Source organism: Homo sapiens, chromosome 12 (genome assembly GCF_000001405.40).
Source record: "Homo sapiens chromosome 12, GRCh38.p14 Primary Assembly".
Classification (NCBI taxonomy): Eukaryota; Metazoa; Chordata; class Mammalia; order Primates; family Hominidae; genus Homo; species Homo sapiens.
Genome location: NC_000012.12, coordinates 15,430,541 through 15,448,996, shown reverse-complemented (window position 1 = coordinate 15,448,996; position 18,456 = coordinate 15,430,541). Strand labels below are relative to the sequence as shown.

The window sequence follows — 18,456 nt, the reverse complement described above, 5'->3', positions numbered from 1 at the left end:
TTTTCTTTTATCAATATTCTATATGTATTCACCTTTTTTTTCAGATTCCACATACAAGTAAGTCCATATAGTATTTGTCCTTCTGTGTCTGGCTTATTTCACTTAGCATAATGTCTTGTTCTCCAGGTTCATCCATGTTGTTATTTAAGGATGAATAATGTTCCATTGTATATATACATAGTACCCTAATTATTTTAATCAATTTTTCAATCAACAGAAACTTAGATTGTTTTTATGTCTTGGCTATTGTGAATAGTGCTGCAATGAACATGGAAAGCTGACGTCCCTTGGAGTTGCTTATTTCATTTCCTTTGGGTATATACCCAGATAAAAGATTGCTGGATTATATGGTAGTTTTATTTTTAATTTTTTGAGAGGCCTCCATTCTGTTTTTCCCTATGGCTCTAGCAATTTACACTCCCATCAACAGTGTGCAAGGTTTCTCTTTTCTCCACAACCTTGTGCACACTTGTTTTCTCTTGACATTTTGATAATAGCCATCCTCACAGGTATGAGGTGATTATGGAAAACATCCAACAAATGTCTGATGAATACTTACAGTGCAAGGCCTTTCTGTAAGTGAAGACAGATGATGCTATTTTCTGTTCCTTACCACACTTCCTTCTCAATCGGTGCTTTTTTTTTTTTTTTTTTTTTACTAGGAACAGGAAGATAGAATAGAGAAGAAGGCAAATATATAATGCCAGGTGGATTCTTTTGAATAAGATTCCATAGGGAAAGTTCCTAGTATTAGGAAAAAATCATTTTTAACATACAGTGTAAGCAAGTTACCTGGAATGTGGTAAGTAGGAGAATTACATATGTATGTAATGTTTGGCATTTTGATATCTTATAGGCTAAAGAAATGAGATATACAGCATGTGTTTCAGAGTAGTTCTATATTGCTATCACATTGCTGTAAATGTATTACTCTATTATTACAGTTACCACAAGTAAATGCCATTTGGAATATTTGAAAATGGAAATCACTCTATCTCAATGATAACAGAAGCAATTTCACTTGTTTCTGCTAGGCAGATCAACTGGAATTATAGTTTGAAATAAAATAAATATTTCCTGAGAAGACTGACATGAAATCCACAATTTCCCTCATACAGGGGATTTTTATTTTTGGAAATGAACCTGATGAATTTGACGTGATCAATCTGCAGAGAATGAAACCATTAGTTTCCAAGGAACCAGGAACTCAATGTACCTATAATTGTCCTTTTTGTTCAAAGACTATAAGATGCAACCCACTCACATCGATGGCAAATTTGGCTCTTAAAAATTTGCTTTTTGGTGAAAAGTCATAGCTATGGGGCATAGGATTGTGGCAAATTCAAGAATCTATGTTTGAATGCATCCATCATGCTTGCCCAGGAATTCACTAGTTGTCTTTAAATTTAGTAATTCATTACATTGTGGATTGGTTTTCTTTTTTAATCCTACATCTAATTTTGTCAGTGCTGCCTTGCTCATCAAAACCTTCTCCATCTTTCTTGATGGAGATCAAGTGAAATTAGTGAAGGCTGGTGGGGAAACAGTTAAACTCATAAATGAAATAGTATTCAAAGCTAAGGTGGCAAATTCCTTGCTTTTCACCCACATTGCTTTGCCTTTTTATTCTCTGCAAATGGGCTGGAATTGAGCAATAAGAACCTGCTGCAGTTTTTTATTCCAGATTTACTTAAGCACAATTTTGGAGCTTAATATTCTTTCTTTCATGTCATTTATACTTTCTACTGCTGCCCTCCCCCCCATGAAATCCATCCACAAAGACAAAAATCATAGCCGTTTGTTGTTATTCTATTTCACTTGTCATAATAGTTGTGTGGTCAGAACCAATGATCAATCCATAGGGCTGGTTCTCTAAAACCTTATTCTTTCCAGGCAGCCTCTTGCGGAGGGCTAGATGATTCATATGCTGAATGTAGGCTTCTGTAAGCAAAACACCAAGAAGTCACTGGAAAGTGGGTGTGCTCACCGTGTGCTAACATGCAGGGAGGAGGGGGCTAGATGATGTGTCATGAGTATCCCAAATATGAGTAATGTGTGCTCTCTGCAGGTGTTACTTTCTTGAGAGAATTGCAACTTGGCCAGCTCTTTCCAAGCTTCCCTACTGAAAATAGACTTTTCCTCAACGGCTCCCTGCTGGCACAGTGAGATGAATTTTGAGGGTATCTTTTCCTACTTTTATTTTATATAAATAAAATATTTTAATAAATAAAAAAATTAATATCTTTTCCTACTTATATTTATTTACCCTAAGAAAAAAGGACTTCTATTATAACTTTCATATGACTTCTATCCTACTTATGACATCCCAAGTAACTTGCTTACTATATGTTAAAAATGATTTTTCCTAATACTAGGAACATTCCCTATGGAATTTTATTCCAAAGAATCCATCGGGCATCATATATTTGCCTTCCTCCCTATTCTATCTTCCTGTCCCTAGCAAATATTAGAATAAAATATTTTAATTATAAAATAAAATATCTTTTCCTACTTATATTTCCAGGTAAATAAGGAAGAACGGAATGAGTCTCCCATTATTTTAGTTGCTGCAGCAAATGCTGCTCTGAGTGTCTTGTGGTGACCTCCTTGCCTTCCATCTCTTTTGTGGACAGGGCAGGGAATTAGGAGGTTTTGAAAGGTGTTTTTCTGATTCAATTTCTTCTATAATAATAATTTTCTCTACATTGACCATGATTCTTTAGTTAGAGAAATGTAGTTTACATTAGTAAAATTTGAACTTCTAGTACCACAAAACCCATATAATTTGAAAAACAAACCCCCAACATTTAAGGAAAAGGCTTGAGATTATTTGTTGTTGTTGTTGTTTTTCAAATTGAACAATAGAATAACATGCTGAGAAAGTGCACTGCTATTATGCATTGTTCTGAATAGATTGACACCATATTAATGAGGCATTAGAGTAATGAGTGGTTCACTGTTTAAAAAATCCATATATTGAATATTTTTAATCAATATGCTACAAATGCTGCTTTACAAATGTCAATTTCATGAGTGCTCTGCATCCTAAAAAGCATAAATTCATCCAACTTAGATTTTGCTAATATGTTTCAGTTGAACTGTTTCTGTCCTCCCATTTTAATATTTGGCTGAGTTTTGTTCCAGACATGTCAAAGACCTGGCCTAGGGAGATAAGGATTAATTTATTGAAGATAATTTACAATAAGGAAATCAAGTAGAAATTTAGAGTAACAAGCCCATGTCAATTTAAGTTGATTCATTTTAATGAAGTAATTTTTTTTCTAAATGGAGATACCAAACTACATTTTTATAAAATAAATAAAAGTAATGATTATCCACCATTTAGTGTAAGCACATGATTGATTGTTAACTCAAAGCGGGACAGAACATTTTACTTAGCTGTAACTCCACTTAACATTAGGTTAGGCCACATGAAATTGATGACACTCAACCAAATACATTTTTGACACATAATGCTTTAAAAATAAGAACCAAAGAACTTCACTCCTTTCATTTTCTTACAATAAATGTTTCCTGTGCACTTACATTGTTTCAGCCTCTAAGGCTACGTACTTTATTTACAGAGGTGCCTATCCAGCCATTTATAAAAGCACTTAGGGACTCAGTAACAGACCCTAGATTGAAATATAAAAATATTGAATGAATAATCAATTTTAAAATAGTAATCCATTTCAATGAGTCCTAATATTTAGATAAAAGAAATATATGACCACTGTACAAAATTAGCATATATAGCTAATGAAACATAAACAACAAAGGAAAAAAAATCCTTATAAGTCCATTACCCAGAAGTAACCACTATTATACTTTCTGACTCTTTAAACCTGCTCTTGTTCTTTAATAAAAGTGGGATCATACTGTTTTCTAATATGCTTTTTCCCATTAATGTATGGAAGAAACTCAGCACATCAGTAAATATTCTTTGCTTATATTCATTTTAAGTGATTGCATTATATGACATTTTTTGGGTACTTGAAACATTATTGTGGTTGCTAATTATAGAACCCATTGAGAGACAAAAAGTCCTAATTTTTTTAGTCATTACTATTCAAAGACTGGTCTGTGGAATAAGGCCAGTGTGAAAACTACTTATAAGTCATCTATTATAGTTTGTTCAGCCAGCTATAAAAAAAACATGGACTAGATAGCTTATAAACAACAGAAATTTATCTTTCACAGCTCTGGGAGCTGGGAAGTCAAAGATCAAGGCACTATTAGATTTGGTGCATGATGGTTTATAGATGGTCATCATTTTGCTGTGTCATCACATGGTGGGAGGGGAGGAGGATCTCTCTGGGGCCTCCTTTATAAGGGAACAAATAACCTCCTGAAGGCTTTACCTTCAAATATTGTCACATTGGGGATTACGTTTCGGCAAACAAATTTGGGCGGGGGAGGGGAATAAATTGTCTATGGCGTTATATGTAACAAAGTAAGTATATCAATGGAGGATTTGCCTTTAAAACTTTTTTTTTCTTTTTCAATTTTTAGTTTTGATTTGGGGGTACATACACAGGTTTGTTATCTGGATATATTGTGTGATGCTGAGGTTTGGGATACAAATGATCCCATTACCTAGGTATTAATCACAGTAGCCAACAGTTAGTTTTTCAAACCTTGCCCCACCCTCTCCCTCTCCCCTTGAGTAGTCCCCATTGTCTGTTGTTGCCATCTTTATGTCCGTGAGTACTGGATGTTTATCTGCCACTTATAAGTGAGAATGGTCAGGACTTGGTTTTCTGTTCCTGTGTTAATTTGCTTAGGATAATGGCCTTCAGCTGCATCCATGTTGCAGAAAAGGACATAATTTTGTTCTCTTCTATGGCTGCATAGTATTCCATAGTCTATATGTGCCATATTTTCTTTATCCATTCCACTGCTGATAGGCCCCTAGGTTGATTCCTTGATGTTGTTATCACAAATAGTGCTGTGATGAACATGTGAGTACATGTGTCTTTTTGGTAGAATTTTTTTTTTTTTTGATATATACTCATTAATGAGACTGCATGGTCAAATGACACTTCTGTTTTAACTTCTTTGAGAAATCTCAAAACTACTTTCTGTATTGGCAGAGCTGATTTACATTCCCACCAACAGTGTAGGAACATTCCCTTTTCTCCACAGCCTCGCCAACATCTGTTGTTTACTGATGTTTTAGTCACAGCCGTTCTGACTGGTGTGAGATGCTATCTCATTGTGGTTTTGTTTTGCGTTTCTCTGATGATTAGTGATGATGAGCATCTTTTCATGTTTCTTGTGTGTCTTCTTTTGAGGCGTGTCTGTTCATGTATTTTGCCTATTTTTAATGGGATTATTTGTTTTTTGCTTGTTCAATTGTTTAAGTTTCATGTGAATTCTAGATATTAGACCTTTGTCAGGTGCAGTTTGTGAACATTTTCTCCCTGTCTTTAGGTTGTCTGTTTACTCTGTTGATAGTTTCTTTCGGTGTGCAGAAGCTCTTTAGTTTAATTAGGTCCACTTGTCATTTTTTGTTTTTGTTAAAATTGCTTTTGAGAATTTAGTCATCAATACTTTCCCCAGGCCGATGTCCAGATTGGTGTTTCCTAGGTTTTCTTCTAGAATTCTTATAGTTTGAAGTCTTATGTTTAAATTTTTAATCAATTTTCAGTTAATTTTTGTATACAGTTAATTGTAGTATATGGGATCCAGTTTCATTCTTCTGCATATGGCTGGAAAGCTATCCCAGTCCTATTTATTGCTGAATAGGCAATTATTTCCCTGTTGCTTATTTTTGTCAACTTTGTCAAAGATCAGATGGCTTTAGGTGTTCTACACATCAGATGGCATAGGCTTTATTTATGGGTTCTCTATTCTGTTCCATTGGTCTACGTGTCTCTTTTCGTAAGAGTACCATGCTGTTTTGGTACTGTAGCATATAGTGTAGTTTGAAGTTGTGTAATGTGATGCCTCTGGCTTTGTTCTTTCTTTTTAGGATTGCTTAGACTATTTGGGCTCTTTTTTGGTCTGTATAAATTTTAGAATAGTTTTTTTTCTAGCTCTGTGAAAAATGATGTTGGTAGCTTGATAGGAGTAGTATTAAAAGTGTAGATTGCTTTGGGCAGCATGGCCAATTTAATGATATTGATTCTTCTAATCTATGAGCATGGAATGTTTTTTCATTTGTGTGTGTCATCTGATTTCTTTTTGCAGTGTTTTGTAGTTCTTCTTTTGTTTAGATGTACTTCCAGGTATTTTTTTGTGTGTGTGGCTATTGTAAATCGGATTGCATTTTTGTTTTGGCCCTCAGCTTGAATGCTATTGGTGTATAAAACTGCTACTAATTTTTGTACATTGATTTTGTATCCTGAAACTTCGCTGAAGTCATTTATCAGTTCCAAGAGGCTTTTGGTGGAGTCTTTAGGGTTGTCAATGTATAGAATCATATTGTCCATGAAGAGAGATAGTTTGACTTCTTTTCCTATTTGGTTGCCTTTTATTTCTTTCTGTTGCCTGATTGCTCTGGCTACCAATTCCAGTACTATGTTGAATAGGAGTGGTGAGAGTGGGCATCCTTGTTTTGTTCCATTTCTCAAGGGGAATGATTCCAATTTTTGCCCATTCAGTATGATGCTGACTGTGGGTTTGTCATAGATTGCTTTTATTATTTTGAAGTATGTTCCTTTGATGCCTAGTTTCTTGAGGGTTTTTATCACAAAAAATTGTTGGATTTTATCAAAAGCTTTCCCTGTGTCTGAGATAATCATATTGTTTTTGTTTTTAATTCTTTATGTGGTGAGTCACATTTATTGATTTGTGTACATTGAATCAGCCTTGCATTCCAGGAATGAAGTCTACTTGATCATGGTGAATTAGCTTTTTGATGTGTTTCTGAATTCAGTATGCTAGCATTTTGTTGAACATTTTTGCATCTATGTTCATCAGGAATGTTGGCCTGCAATTTTCTTTTTTTCATTGTGTCTTTGCCAGGTTTTGGTATTGGCCTGATGCTGGCTTTGTAGAATGTGTTAGAAGGGACTCCCTTCTTGATTTTTTGAAATAGGTGCAGTAAAATTGGTACCAGCTTTTTGTACATCTGGTAGAATTTGGCTGTAAATCCCTCTTGTCTGGGGCTTTTATTGGTTGGTAGTTTTTATTTTATTACTGATTCAATTTCAGAACTTGATGTTGGTCTGTTCAATGTTTCAATTTCTTCTTGATTTAATCATGGGAAATTGTGTGTTTCCCAGAATTTATCATTTCCTCTAGATTTTCTAGTTTTTGTGTGTAGAGAGGTTCATAATGGTCTCCAAGGATTTTCTGTATTTTGGTGGGATCAGTTGTAATGTCATTCTTTGTCATTTCTGATTGTGCTTATTTGGATCTTCTCTCTTCTTTTCTTTGTTAATCTAGTGTATTGATCTTGTTTATCCTTTCAAAGAACCAACTTTTAGTTTTGTTGATACTTTGTATGAATTTTTGGGTCTCAATTTGATTCTCAATATCTGCCCTAATTTTAGTTCTTTCTTTTCTTCTGAGAACTTTGGGGTTAGTTTGTTCTTGTTTTTCTAGTTCCTCTAGATGTGATATTAGATCGTTAATTTGAGATCTTTCTAACTCTTTGAGGTAAGCATTTAGCACTATAAACTTTCCTCTTAATACTGCTTTTGCTGAATCCCAGAGATTTTGGTATGTTGTGTCTCTGTTTTCATTTATTTCAAATAATTTTTAAATTTCTGCCTTGATTTCATTGTTTACCCAAAAGTCATTCAGGATCAAATTATTTACTTTCCATGTAATTGTGTAGTTTTAAGAGATTTTCTTGGTATTGATTTCTATTTTTATTCTATTGTGGTTTGAGAGTATGGTTGATTTGATATTTATTTCATTGAGACTTACTTTATGGTAGAGCATGTGGTCAATCTTGGAGTATGTTCCATGTGCAGATAAGAAGAATGCATACTCTGTGGTTTGTGGGTTGAGTGTTTTCTAGACCTTCATTAGGTCTAGTTGGTCAAGTGTTGAGTTTAAGTTCAGAGTTTCTTTGTTAGTTTGCTGCCTTCATGACCTGTCTACTGCTGTCAGTTGGGGGTTGAAGACCCCTACCATTATTGTGTGGCTGTCTAAGTCTTTTAGCAGGCTTATAAATCTGGTTGCTCCAAAGTTGATGCATACATATTTATGAGAGTCAAGACTTCTTGTTGAATTGAACCCTTTATCATTACGTAATGGCCTTCTTTGTCTTTTTTTTACTGTTGTTGGCTTAAAGTATGTTTTATCAGATAGAAGAATAGTGACCCCTGCTTTTTTGTTTATTATTTAAAGGATGGGGCCTTCCTATGTTGTCCAGGCTTGTTTTGAAATCTTGGGCTCAAGTGATCTGCCTGCCTTGGCCTCCCAAAGTGCTGGGATTAGAGGTGTGAGCCACAGCACCTGGGCTGTGACCGCTGCTTTTATTTCTTCTCTGTTTGCATGGTAGATCTTTCTCCAACCCTGTACTTTGAGCCTGTGGGTGTCTTTACACGTAAGATGGGTTTCATGAACACAGCAGACTGATGAGCCTTGTATTTTTTTTTCAGGCTTAATTCACTTTATTTTTCTTGTATAAAAATCCTATGTTGTAGCCACAGCTGGAGCCTCAGTCCTCTGCATGGAGACTCTGGTGTGGGTCTTGAAGAAGTGCTCAGTGAATTCCTGATAGGGAGACATGGTGAATACAGTCTCCTTCCGGAGGTTGGGGGTCAGGTAGCTGTAGGTCTTAGAGATGGCATCAAAGGTGGCCTTGGAAAAGTTGCCCAGGGTGGCAGTGCAGCCCCTGGCTAAGGTGTAGCAGTCATTGATACCAGCCATCATGAGCAGCTTCTTGGGCACAGGGGCTGAGATGATGCCAATGTTCCTGGACTCAGGGATGAGGTGCACCAGCACAGAGCTGCAGCGGTCTGTCACCTTGCAAGGGACAGTGTGGGGCTTGCAGATCTTGTTACCCCTGTAGCCTCTGCACACAGGGACAATGGAGAGCTTGGCCAGGATGATGGCCCCGCAGATGGCAGTGGCCACCTCCTTGGAGCACTTAACACCCAGACCGATGTGGCCATTGTAGTCCCCAATGGCAACAAACACCTTGAACTTGGTGTGCTGGCCGACGTGGGTCTGCTTCTGCACCATCATAATCTTCAAATCCTTGTTCTTGAGAGAGGCCCCCAAGAAAAAGTCAATGATATCTGATTCTTTGATGGGCAGGGAGAAGAGGTAGATCTCCTCCAGGGACTTGATCTTCATGTCCTTGACTAGGAGGTCCAGCTCGGTGACGGGCATCCACTCATCCTCGGCCTTGCCTCAGTGAGCTCCGTGGCCTCAGCCCCAGCTCTGTCCATGGCTGTGACCACAGCCCAGATGCCACTGCCAAAACCTCCACGAAAGCCACTGTGGTTCCCCATCCCAGGGCCCCCGAGTCCTCCGGGCCCCCTCGCTCCACCAGCGTCATCTGCTATTTGGTGTTTTCTTGGATAAGAAGTGAGTCTTGTATTTTTATCAACCTTGCAGCTCTGTGTCTTTTAGGTCGTGCATTGAGACCATTAAAATTTAAGGTTAATATTGATAAGTGAGGCTTTGATCCTACCATGAGGTTGTTAGCTGGTTGCTTTGTAGTTTCTATTGTGTAGTTGCTTTATATGGTCTGCAGGCTATGTACTTAAGTGTGTTTTTGCGGTTACAGGTATCGTTCTTTCATTTCCATGTTTAGAACTCCCTTAAGGATCTCTCTTAAGGCTGGTCTAGTGGTAATGAATTCCCCTAGGACTTGTTTGTCTGGAAAATATTTTATTTATCTTTCACTTATAAACCTTTGTTGAGATATAGAATTCTTGGTTGGAATTTCTTTTCTTTAAGAATGCTGAAAATAGGCCCCCAGTCTCTCCTGGCTTGTAAGGTTTCTGGTGATAAGTCCTCTATTAGCCTGATGGGGTTCTCTTTGTACATGATCTGTCCTCTAGCAGATCTTTAAGATCTTTACCTAAGGAAAGATCTTAAGATCTTTGCCTAAGGAAAACCTCTAGCAGTCTTTAAGATTTTTTCTTTAGCGTTGACCTTGCTCAATCTGGTGACTACATGGTTTGTAGTCTACATGGCTTGATATTTGTTTTGCATAGTATCTCACAGGTATTCTCTGAATGTCTTGTATCTGGACATCTATCTTCCTAGCTAGATTAGGCATGTTACTTGAATTATTCTTTCAACTATATTTTCCAGGTTGTTTGTTTTTTTCCTTCTCTCTCAGGAATGCCAATAATTCATACATTTAGTCCTCTTACATAATCCCATATTTCATGAGGACTGCTCATTTTTAAAATTCTTCATATTTATTTTTGCCATATTGGGTTAGTTCAAAAGACCACTCTTCAATCTCTGAAATTCTTTCTTCTGCTTGGTTCAGTCTATTGATAAAGATTTCATTTGTATTTTGGAATTCTTTACGTGAGTTTTTCAATTCCAGAAGCTCTGATTGATTTCTTTTTAAGATGTTTATCTTTTTGTTCATTTCCTGGGTTGCTTTAGAAATTTCCTTTTGTTGATTTTCAACCTTGTCTTGGATCTGAATGAGCTTCCTTGCAATCCACGCTTTGAATTTTTATTTATTATTTCTGAGTTTCCATTTTGGCTAGGGACCATTGCTGGAGAGGTAGCTCAATCTTTTGGTGGTTTCACTACATTCAGGTTTTTTCATGGTGCTAGAATTCTTGTGCTGGTTGCTTCTCACCTGGAGACACTGGCACTTCTAATTTTTGTATTTTTTTTCATACAGGTAGGACTTTTCCTTTATCTTTCTTTCCTTATAATGTCATTACTATTATTCTCTTTCCCTTACGTGCTTTATGGGGTGTGACTGTGAAGAATGCTGAGGAGGGTCTTTCAGTTTTTCTTCTATAGCAGTATGCACTTCTTTCAACAGGTTTTATATTGGGCTGTGAAGTTTGTCCTACAAGCCTGTAGATAACAGCCAGCTGTGGTCAAAGTGGCTGGTATCTGTATTTAGAAGTGGAAGTTCTCTGTTGCCCAGGCAATGGGTTGATTCATAGAATACACATTGGTCTGAGGTCCCTGCTCAGCACTGTGGGGGTAGGAGCCATAAAGGGTGGGACCAGTTGGGCAGGTCTGCCTGGAGGTCCCCTGATGCAAGCACAAGCACCAGTATCAAGTGAGAATCCAGTGGGTGGCTACCAGGCACCCAGAAGTGTGTCTAAATGTGGAGTCAGGAAACCACCTTTGCTCCAAGTTCTGTGTTCCAGGTTCCTAATCCAGGAGAGTGGGTGCTTCAGATGCCTGCAGATCTTCCTGGGTGTGGAGCAGAGAGGGCCTTCCTGCACCAATATCTACGAACAGAAGGGGTTGTGCAACCCAGGTTGCCACACCAGGCAAGCAGGTATTCTAAATGCCTGGAGATTTGCCTGAGCATGGAGCAGAAAGGGTCTTACTATACCATGATCTATGTCCATAAATGGTGGGGCAGCTCAGGCTGCTGAACCAGATGACTGTATGCTCAGAATGTCTGGTGATCTGCCTGAGTGTGAACAGAGAGGGATTCCTTGCACCAAGATCTTTGGACAGTCTTGGTGGTCCTGGTGAGCAATGCCCCAAAAGTCTAGAGATCTTCTTGGGTGTGGAGCAGAGAGAGCCCCGCTGCACAAAGATCTCTGCACATGAGGGGTGGGGTGACTCTGGCTGCTGAACTAAGCAAGCAGGCGCTCTGAATGCCTGGAGATCTTCCTGGGCATGTAGCAGAGAGGGTCCCTCTGTACCAGTCTTTGCACAAGGAGGGTAGGTGGCTCAGGCTGCTGAACCAGGTGAATGAGCGCTCTGAATGCCTAGAAATCTGCTTGGGCATGGAGCACAGAGACCCTCTCTGTACCACCATATACATCAAGGAAGGGTGGTGTGGCTCAGACCACCGGTCCAGGCAAGCAGGTGTTCCAAATACCCAGATTTCTGCCTAGGAATGGAGCAGGGAGGGCTCTGTTGCACCACGATCTCAGGGGAGGAGGATGGGGCACTCAGCAATGGCACACACAGATCAGTTCCAGATTGCCAAGCTGGCCCTGGCTGCAAGTCTTGCTGCTCAGAAGAAACCGCAACTGTAGCAGCTCTCCTCCTGCCTGTGATGGGAGAGAGCACAATTCCAGAGACTACTGCTGAGACACTTTTTTACAGTTCTGGCTGTGGAGGCCCCCACCCCACTCCAGATAAGATGCTTCAATCTCTGGCACAAGACTAAAGTGCCTCTGTAGCCATGGTGCTAGGGCACCAAAGCATGGCTGACTTTGTATGCACCCAGATTTAAAATGGCATCCTACTCTCATCCAGGGTCTGAGAAAACTTCTGCCACTTTTCCTGGTGTCTTTCCTTCACAGTTTCTCCAAGACTCTCCCTAAGCTAACTCCAGGGATTAGGAGAAGCAAAGTGCTCTCTCTTGGCCTGGGTTGCTTGGATCTCCAGTGGAAAGGTAAGTCACAGAGGGAAACTCTCTGCCTCTCTCACATACTGGGGCTCTACTCACTTTTATCAACTGGATGCCATCACAGGGCTGTTTAAAACTGTCACAGCAATTTTGGCAGACTATATTATGTTTGTTTTTTATGTAATAATAAAAAAGAAATTACTACTTGTATTTTGTGTGTTTGCTTTAACTTTTTATAAATTTATTTTTTGGAGGTTTTTCTGTGTCTCTATTTCCTTCAGTTATGCTCTGATCTTAGTTATTTCTTGCCTTCTGCTAGCTTTTGAATGTGTTTGCTCTTGCTTCTCTAGTTCTTTTAATTGTGATGTTAGGGTGTCAGTTTTAGATCTTTCCTGCTTTCTCTTGTGGGCATGTAGTGCTATAAATTTCCCTCTACACACTGCTTTGAATGTGTCCCAAAGATTCTGGTATGTTGTGTCTTTGTTCTTGTTGGTTTCAAAGAACATCTTTATTTCTGCCTTCATTTCGTTATGTATCCAGTAGTCATTCAGGAGCAGGTTGTTCAGTTTCCATGATGAACATATTGGTACACGGTAGATCGAGTGGTGGGAAAAATCTTGATCCTTTGCCACAGATAGTTTAAAAAGTATAGCCAGCCTGGCTAGTCTGACTAGAACTTCTTGGCCTGAAAATAATAGCCTGAGCCAAAGACATGTTGAAAGAAATGTTTTCAATGGTGCAGCTAAAATTTGGAGGAGTATGTGTTAGTATTTGGGGAAATAAGTGTTCTGCTATCCATGGTACTGAACAATCATTTCTCACTAAGTCCTGGTTATTTCATCTAACCTTGGAATACTGGTTACTATGGACCAACATTTCTCAGAAATTCTCAATCAAGAGAAAGAAGAACCAATGGTGATATATATTTGAGAAATATGAGGAAAAGAGAAAAACTGATACAGGTAAAGAGGAATTATAGAGAGAGATTGCCAAAAAGAAAAAAAAAAAGGTGCTTTGCTAATTTATTTACTAAGATAATTTAGCCAACCTTAGCCCAAATGCCAAAAGAACAACAGATTTATATTCAATACAGTGCAAAGCAGCATCACTGTTGACATTAATAAATAAGTTATTTTTGAAAGAATGACAGATGAGATTGTCAAGCAGAGATTTTATGACTGATATCATGTCAGTTCAGTTACACAAAAATTTTTATACTTTTCCTTTGCTTTAGTTTTCAATACATATGAAAATTGTGTTTTGTGAAGCTATGCCAAATAGTATAAAATCATGACTTACGGGTCATCATTAAATTAATAATTTCACATACTTTTGAAAGATCTGTCATATTTTTGATAGCTACAATCACTCTTATCCTATTATAGTTGGGAAAGTCTATTACCCTATACCAGCCTCTTGCCCACACTTTATGAATATGAGAGATGCTTCATACATGATAGTGACTGAATAGGTTTGTCAGATCTTCTCTGCTAAGTTAGGGAAAAACAGGGGGCACTGGTGTCTTTAAAAATTATACCAATAAACCACCTTGAGAGGAGAAGGGTAGGAGTTAGGACTACGCCCTGCAGCAGAGATGCTAATGCTTCTTTGCAAAAGCACCTATTATTCTGAAATTGTCTGACTGTATCTGTGATTCTTGCAACCAAAAGGGCAAAATTATTATGGATATAGTATAATGTATTTAATCAAACTCCTATTATTGCATATTTAGGTTGTTCCACATTTTCTTTGTGATAATCAGTGATTCATTGAACATCCCTATAGCTAAATCTTTGCACACATTCAACAGCTCTTTTAAATTTCAAAGCACTTCACAGACATTCACTTTATTGAAATTTTAGTAGTTTTTGAGAAACATCAACCAAATCTGGCCAGCTTGTTGAAAAGCCTACCATAAATTAAATGATGTTTAAGTGGGTCTGTGTTTTATTTAACATAATAACACCTACATACATTGGAAAAAAATTCCCATGCATTTATGTGAATAACACTTTTGATGTCATCTGTGAAAAATGTTTAATGGCCAAGTGGATTTGTAAACTCCTGCTGAAAGCAATTTTCCCCTTTTCCAGGAAATACTGATCTTTACTACTTTACCATTCACCCTGGTAGAAAATAAAGAACTTACTTGTCCTTAGTCTTTACCTTTACTTATATGAGAAACATGCCACCCAAATGAGTTTTAGTATACTCTGTGGCTTGTGTATGAAAACCAAAGTGTTGAATAGAAACCTAAAAGTATTTTGAAATTTGATATGAAATTGAAAATTAGTGCATTTGAACTTAAGATATTACAGCTGAGTTTATGTTTGCTTTCAACTAAAAAGGCAAGTTTAAACATTGTTAAAAGTGTTATTCAGTAGTGCTAATATTTGGTAGAATTTATTTCTAGAAATATGGGATATAACTCTGCAAAGGGCATTTTACTGGACTACTCATTTTCAAGGGAACAACCTCTGTGTGTACTGAATAAAAAGAACCCAAGATATGCATATTAACAGGGAATTCAGTGCTGCATTGTGACCAAGAGACCACATATTCAGTGAAAGGACAGAAAATTTTGGAGGATTTTCAAACTTAAGGCACAGACCAACATTCTGTTTCAAAAACAAATGAACAAACAAAAACAAGCTGCTAACTACCAACGGCATTTTTCACAGAACTAGAAAAAAACTATTTTAAAATTCATATAGAATAAAAAAAGAGTCTGAATAGCCAAGGCAATCCTAAGCAAAAAGAACAAAGCTGGAGGCATCACGCTACCCAATTTCAAACTATACTGCAGGCTACAATAACCAAAGCAGCATGGTATTGGTACAAAAACAGATATGTAAACCAAAGGAACAGAATAGAGAGCCCAGAAATAACATCACACACCTACATCCATCTGATCTTCAACAAAGCTGACAAAAACAAGCAATGAGGAAAAGACTCCCTATTCAATAAATGGTGTTGGAATAACTGGCTAGCCATATGCAGAAGATTGAAACTGGACCCTTTCCTTCACTGTGTACAAAAATCAACTCAAGATGGATTAAAGACTTAAATGTAAAGCCTAAAACTGGCTGGGCATGGTGGCTGTCGCCTGTAATCCCAGCACTTTGGGAGGCCAAGGCGGGCGGATCATGAGGTCAGGAGATCAAGACCATCCTGGCTAACACGGTGAAACCCTGTCTCTACTAAAAAAATACAAATACAAAAAGTTAGCCGAGCATGGTGGCACACACTTGTAGTTCCAGCTACTCAGGAGGCTGAGGCAGGAGAATTGTTTGAACCCAGGAGGCAGAGGTTGCAGTGAGCTGAGATCGGCACCACTGCACTCCAGCCTGGGCGACAGAGTGAGACTCCACCTCAGAAAAAAAAAAAAAAAAAAAGCCCCAAACTGTAAAAACCCTGAAAGACAACCTAGGCAGTACCATCCTGGATATTGGAATAGGCAAAGATTTCATGGTGAAGACATCAAAAATAATTGTGACAAAAGCAAAAATTAACAATTGGGATCTAATTAAACTAAAGAGTGTCTGCACAGCAAAAACAATAACAACAACAACAACAACAAAAACAAACAAATGAAAACTATCAACAGAGTAAACTGACAACCTACAGAATGGGAGGAAAATTTTGCAAACTGTGTATCTGACAAAGATCTAATATCCAGCACCTATAAGGAACTTAAATTTACAAGCAAAAAATAAACAACCACATTAAAAACTGGGCAAAGAACATGAGCAAACACTTTTCTATAGAAGACATGCATTAGGCCAACAAGCATATGAAAAAAGCTCAGCATCACTGATTATTAGAGAAATGCAAATCAAAACCACAATGAGATGCCGTCTCACACCAGTCAGAAGGCTATGATTCAAAAGTCACAAAATAACAGATACTGGCAAGGTTGCGGAGAAAAGGGAATACTTATACATTGATGGTGGGGGTGTAAATTAATTCAATCATTGTGGAAGACACTGTGGCAATTCCTAAAACAGCTGAAAATAGAACTACCACTTGACTCCACAATCCCATTACTGGGTATATACCCAAAGGAATATAAATTGTTCTATCATGAAGACACATGCACATATATATTCATTGCAGCACTATTGACAGTAGCAAAGACATACAATCAACCTAAATGCCCATCAGCAGTAGACTGGATAAAGAAAATGCGTTATATATACATCATAGAATACTATGCAGCAGTAAAAAATAATGCAATCATGTCCTTTGCAGGGACATGCATGGAGCTGGAGGCCATTATCCTTAGCAAACTATTGCAGGAATGGAAAACCAAATACTGCATGTTCTCACTTACAAGTGGGGGCTAAATTATGAGAACACATGGACACATAGAGGGGAACAATGGACACTGGGCCCTACATCAGGGTGGTGGGTGAGAGGAGGAAGAGGATCAGGAAAAATAACAAATGGGTACTAGGATTATAATACCTGGATGATGAAATAATCTGTACAATAAACCCCCATGACATGAGTGTATTTATATAACCAACCTGCACACATACCCCTAAACTTAAATGCTAAAAAAGCAAAAACAAAAACAAAAAACAGCTGTTAAGCTCAGTCTCATAATGAGTATTAGTGTCCAAAAAAGGTTGATTGGCCATGGAATATTACTTAAGATTATTAACACCATGTTATAATATGCAGTATGAATATGGTATGAGACTAGACATGCTTATCTAGATTGGAAAAGCAGGTTCAAAAAAGAAATAATAAAATAAGAATCATAAACAGTTATCATCATAATCTATCGTTCTTTAATCTAGATTCCAAAATTTTGCAGTTTTTCTAATATTAATATTTTCCAAAGTAAAAGCCAAATGTAAGATAATCACTTTGAAGTTATCCAAATTTGTAGCAGTATAGAAAAATCATGAATTTCTTATGTTTTCATTTGCTTTGAAAATTGCATTCATAATTTGCTCTATCGAATAATAACAATTATTAGAATAATTGAAATTATAATGTTCTTTTAAAATAACAAGATCTGTCTTAGTTTGGCAATTTGGTTGCACACCTACTAAAATGTTTTAATTACAGAAGGAGATAATTGAATAGGGCTCCTTATGTGAAATTTTTGAAAAGTTGAAGTGAGAAAAAGATCAAATAATTCATATTTTGAAGGAAGATAAATAATTATATGGTATAGTTTTCCAAAAGGTATAATTTTTGAAGGCAAATTCTTCCCAAAGTGAGCAAAATAACTAGTTAATTGCTCCTGAGATGAAGAGGGATGACCCTCACTGTTCTCCTCTCTCAAACCTACGTCCATTCTTTCAGGGACTAAAGGCAAAGTTAGGGTGGGACACATGTTTGATTTTTAGAATCTAACATGGTGGTGTCCAGGCAAATGTCCCTGATGGAAATATCCACTTTTTTGGTTGAAGACCAACTGATTGTTCCTGGGACAAGCCCCTATGCTACCCTTGCTTTAGGACAACAAATGGTAACCATTCTGTCCCCTGAGTGACTAGAAGTTCAAAAATTGATTACACATTTTTTTATTGAGGTCAATATCAAAATATTGAATACAGTTTTTAAGCAATAATTACTATTTCCATATATTCTATAAAAATTCTGTCTTTAACAAAGTCAAGTCTTCTTTAGCATTATTTCTGAATTCAGCTTCAGAGTGCTCCAAATATTTTAATTCATTCATTCATTCATTTACTTTTAATTGACAAAATTGTATATATTTATACCGTACAACATAATTTTTTGATATATGTGTATATTGTGGAATGGTTAAATCAAGCTAATTAACATTGCATTACCTCACACACTTTTTGTGTGTGTGGTGGGAACACTTAGGATCTACTCTTAGAAATTTTTCAAGTGTATAATATATTGTTACTAAGCATCCATGATGTACAATAGATCTCTTGAACTTATTCCTCCTGCCAAACTGAAATTTTGTATTCTTTGACGGACATCTCCCCAAGTGGTTCAAATATTGATGCATAACAAAGATACACAGACACAGCCAC

The 18,456-nt window shown here is 37.3% G+C and overlaps 1 protein-coding gene and 1 pseudogene across 5 annotated transcripts in view; both read right to left on the bottom strand.

The window, feature by feature from the left end:
- PTPRO (protein tyrosine phosphatase receptor type O) overlaps nucleotides 1-18,456 on the bottom strand; it is a 275,824-nt gene that overhangs the window by 149,335 nt on the left and 108,033 nt on the right. The gene's annotated exons all lie outside the window — the stretch shown is intronic.
- On the bottom strand, nucleotides 8,556-9,493 carry RPS2P42 (ribosomal protein S2 pseudogene 42; annotated as a pseudogene).